At 50.5% G+C, this 4,735-nt stretch overlaps 1 annotated feature.

The window, feature by feature from the left end:
• Nucleotides 1,232–1,311: a silencer, noted in NCBI's record as "silent region_2127". NCBI's record gives its function as "represses an Ori minimal core promoter by ATAC-STARR-seq in GM12878 lymphoblastoid cells {active_cell/tissue: GM12878}" and the evidence as "EXISTENCE:reporter gene assay evidence [ECO:0000049][PMID:35858748]".

The raw sequence follows: 4,735 nt of genomic DNA, 5'->3' as shown, positions 1-4,735 counted from the left end.
TCAATGTTACGTCGCATTTAACACTCATTAGATGCCCTCCCTCTGAATCCGCATCTCCCACTGTCTTTAATTAGTTCAGGAAGTTCCTTGCAGTCCCCTCACTGCTAGCACTGGTCTGGTGGAGACAGAACTGGAAGGGAGACCACCTGGGGGAAGCAAGAGGAGCTGCAAAGACACAAATGGGCCCTAACTGCTCTGCCCTCCTGCCTGGCTCGACAGTCTTCCTATTGCTTCAAGAAAAGTCCGCACCTCTCAGCATGGTGTGCAAGGCCCCCCGCAGTCTGACGTCCATGGAGCTTCTGAACCTCCCCTCCTGCCCCTTTTCTTCTCTTCAGCCAGCTGGGTATGCACTTACCTCAAACAGGGATTCCCACATAATGCTGGTCATGGGTGTTCTTCAATAGAGTTCCTTAAATTGTTGATCTCTAGGGCGCTCCAGGGCCTTGTAACTGGAGACCACTCCCCTTCTCACAGCAAAAGTGAACCCACCTTTGCTATTACCCTACTGTACATGGGAGGGTGTAACTGACATGAGAGGGTGGAATCCTGAGTTGGACCTCAGACTCCCAGTCCTAGGACGAGGGTGGAGCCCCCCTGTCCCCACCATGTTTGGGGGAGCTACTAACCTCTCTCACGTACCATTCTTGGAGGGCAAAGTATGGGATGCTGTTGGAGTCTTGTCGCCTGGGCTCTGTTCTCTGAGTTCTTCCCCACCTGCTGCGCAGAGCTGGAAACTGCAGTCCTACTTGCCAGGCTCTGAGAAGGTGTGCACCAGTAGCCATAGGGACTGGCTGTTGATTCAAGCAGGTTGCTGGAAATAATGGGCTGACACCTGGAATGGGGTAGGATTTGTCCCACTAACCTGGTCCACTTTGCCAGGCCTTGAGGGTGGGGCACAACTTCTCTCATGCCACCTCGGGAATTCATGGCTCATGACAAGCACCTGAGAGAGGCTCTGTCGTCACCTTGCGTCCAACGCCTGGCACTGTCCAGTCCTGCAGTAAGATGTGTGTGAGATGTGGCTTGGACAGCACCAGGAAGGAGCATGAACTTATTACCTGATTGATATGGTTTGGCTGTGTCCCCACCCAAATCTCATATTGAATTGCAGCTCCCATAATTCCCATGTGTTGTGGGAGCGACCTGGTGGGAGATCATTGAATCATGTGGGAGGTTTCCCCCATACTGTTATTGGGGTAGTGAAGAAGTCTCATGAGATCTGATAGTTTTGTAAGGGGAAACCCCTTTCGCTTGGTTTTCATTCTCTCTTCCCTGCCACCACGTAAATGTGCCTTTCGCCTTCCGCCGTGATTGTGAGGTCTCCCCAGCCATGTGGAACTATGAGTCCATTAAACCTCTTTTTCTTTATAAATTACCCAGTCTTGGTTATGGATTTATCAGCAGCGTGAGAACAGACTAATGCACTGATACCTGGCATGGCTGGGAGGGATGCCTTCCTGTCTTGAATTTGCACTTGTATCACCTCTGGCCCCACCAGCCAGGGGGTTGGGGCCAAGAGCCCAGGGGCAGCTTTGGTCCTCAGTGAAGGCTGGCCCAGAGGCTCTAATCTATGACCCTAACCTATTTTCTGACTGAACCACATCTTCACCACTGAGAAATATTCCACAGGACATACGCAGCCCATCTTTTCTACCGTCCCGCTGGACAGTAGTAACTGACATGGGAGGGTGAAGCCTTGAGTTGGACATCAGGCTCCGTGTCCTAGGAGGAGGGTGGACCCCCCATCCCCACTCTGTTTGCGGCAGCTGCTAACGTCTATCTCTGTAACTATTTCTTTTTTCATCCCTAAGACTTGAGCTTTCAGCAGTATTCTCTTTCTTTAAAATTTCTATGGCCTCCACTTTCTCCTCTTCCTCTGGGGCTAATCACGAAGCTTCTGGAAGTCCCTCAGGCTGTTCATGGAGCCTGAGGTTGTTTGTGAACTGTCAGTTTTTCCAAGCAGACTTCTGGCTGTGTCGTGCTAGGCTTCCTGACGTCTTTGCCTCCTTCTCCACTGCCTTGCCACAGCTCCCTCCAATGTCACTCTTGCTCATGGGTCTCTTCACCCCCTTTTCTCCAGGCACTGAGAAACTTAAACTCTTCCCAAATCCTCCCAGAACTCTTTATTCTAACAGAGCTGCCTCTTCTTTCAGGAAGCTATCTGATACGGACAATGTTTGTGTTCCTTCAAAGTTCATTTGTTGAAGCTTTAACCCCCAAGGTGATGGTATTTGGAGGTGGGGCATTTGGCAGGTGATTGGGTCCTGACAGTGGAGCCCTGATCAATGGGATTAGTGCCCTTATCAGAGACACAAGAGAGATGATCTCTCTCTCCATCGTATGAGGCTATAGCAAGAAGGTGGCATCTGTAAACCAGGAAGAGAGCCCTCACTAGGAACTGAATCAGCTGGCACCTTATCTTGGACTTCCCAGCCTTCAGAACCATGATATATAAATGTTGTGTAAGCCACTGGTTTGTGGTATTCTGTTATAGCTCTCCAAGCTAAGACATCATCTATGTTTGAACATTTTGTGCCAGAGCTGGGCACTGTGGTGCATTCCTGGAATCTCAGCACTTTGGGAGGCTGAGACAAGAGGACTACATGAGGCCAGGAGTTTGAGATCAGCCTGGGCAACATAGTGAGACCCCTGTCTTTACAAAGAAAAAAAAAACTATTAGCCTGGCATGATGGCATACTTGTAGTTCCAGCTATTTGAGAGGCTGAAGTGGGAGGATCTCTTGAGCCCAGGAATTTGAATCCAGGATGGGCAACATAGCAAGATCTCCTCTTTATAAAAAAAGAGAAGGAAGAAAAGAAAAGTTTGTGCCAGAAGAGGAGTGCTCATACCCACCTTCTAAGAACATTCCAGAGCCAAGTTCCCAGCTGCCCATTCCAAGTCCTTCTTGCTTTGAGAGGCGATTCCAATCTCCATAACCATGGCTCTGGATGCCAAACAGCTCTGCAGTGTGGAAGGACTCAGCTCTGACTCCGTGGGACCCTAGATGTGATTCAGCCATAGCTTTGCTTCAAGGTTTAGAGATCCAAGACGGTAACCTTTCCCCCTTTTCTTCTATAACCCATGCAACAGGCTCCATATCTTTTTGCCCAGGATGTGAGCTAAGAGTGGGAGGAGAGAGCCTAAAGGACTCTCTCTTACTATTTTTTCAGCCATTGAAGGGGGCTCATAGCCCATGCTAAACATGATTTTCTTGCCTGGGTTCCCTGGGAGCTGGGGTTGGGGCTTAGTCTATGCTTGTAGCTGGTGACCAGCTTGGCCACTATCCCCTTAAAGTAAACATACACATGAGCACAGGAGAGACCAGGGTGTTCACATAGATGGTAAGGTCTTTGGTGAGAAGTCAGAGCTTCAGAGGGAGGGGTGAGAAGAGAAAAGTCAGGCAATAGACACTCCTCCCATGCCTAGTCCTGGTCTAGTGACCTCGTGTCCCTTTTACTCTCTGAGAGCATGGCCGTCTGGGCTCAGGCCTTTGGGATGGCCCCGGGGAGGACACTCCTGGCCCGGCGCGTTGTGCCCTCTCTGCCTTACTGTTTCCTTCCCACCCAGTTTTTCCGCCCTTTGAACTCCTTCCTTTTCCCTGACTCCCCTTCTCCTCTGCTCCACCTCCACCCTCAGACTGCCCTAGAATTTGAGAAGTTTCTAGTTTCTTCTGCTGTTTTGTAAGCTTTCTTCACCTCTGGAGACAGTCACGAGCCAGGTACACCATCCATTCTGCTGCCTGGTGGATGACAGGGGTGGCGGTGGGGATTTTCCGCTCTCAGTTGCAATTGCCCTTTTTCCCCCTTGATTTACTTTAAGTTCCTAACATCAGTCAGATACATCTTACATTGAAAGGGGTCATTTCTGCCAAAAGTCCTCATCGGTTTTACGTTTGAGATTCAGAGCCTCCCTGCTGGCCTAATACCAACCTTATTATGCAATAGGAAGTCCTCCACAGCCCCCGCCCCCAGCACTGCCTTCTGACTGGGTTACCTCGAAGCACCTTCATCCACTGAGTCAGCTCTAAGGGGCCTCAGGCCCAGCGTCTCTCTGGCCACAGGAGAGGGGTGAGAATGGGGGCTTGGTTGCACTGCCACGCGTGAGATTGGAGGCCAGGTACGGTGGCGCACACCTGCAATCCTAGCACTTTGGGAGGCTGAGGTGGGAGGATTACTTGACGCTGAGAGTTTAAGACCAGCCTGGGCAACGTAGCAAGACTCTGTCTCTATAAAATGCAAAAACTATCTGGGCATAGTGGTGCATGTCTGTAGTCTTTCCTACTCAGGAGGCTGAGGCAGGAGGGTCACTTGATCCTGGGAGGTTGAGGCTGCAGTGAGCTGTGATCACACCATTGCACTCCAGCCTGAGTGACAGCATGAGATCCTCCCTGTCTTAAAAAAAAAAAAAAAACTGGAGATGACTGAGAGGTGGTCTTTTCAGAGACCTGTCATTTTACAGACAAGAAGCCTGAGGCTTTGAGAGGTTAGGTGACTTGCTGAATCCCATTGTCAACAAAGGCATGGCAGAATTGGGGGTGGAATTGATCTCCTCTTGGAGGTTGCAGATTGATGCACACTTCCTGGGCTGCCTTGGAGGCATGGGTTGAGGTGGAGTCCAGCCTTCAATGGCCCTTGCCATTGGCTCCTGGCCTCCACTCCGATACTTCACTGGGACAGATGTCATCTCCAGAGGCGGCCCACACACGTTTGCTGAACACGTCTTTCCTTCATGGAAA

The sequence above is a fragment of the Homo sapiens genome, chromosome 10 (assembly GCF_000001405.40).
Source record: "Homo sapiens chromosome 10, GRCh38.p14 Primary Assembly".
Lineage (NCBI taxonomy): Eukaryota > Metazoa > Chordata > Mammalia > Primates > Hominidae > Homo > Homo sapiens.
The sequence above is the reverse complement of the archived record's forward strand: the minus strand, read 5'-3'. Positions and strand labels throughout refer to the sequence as shown.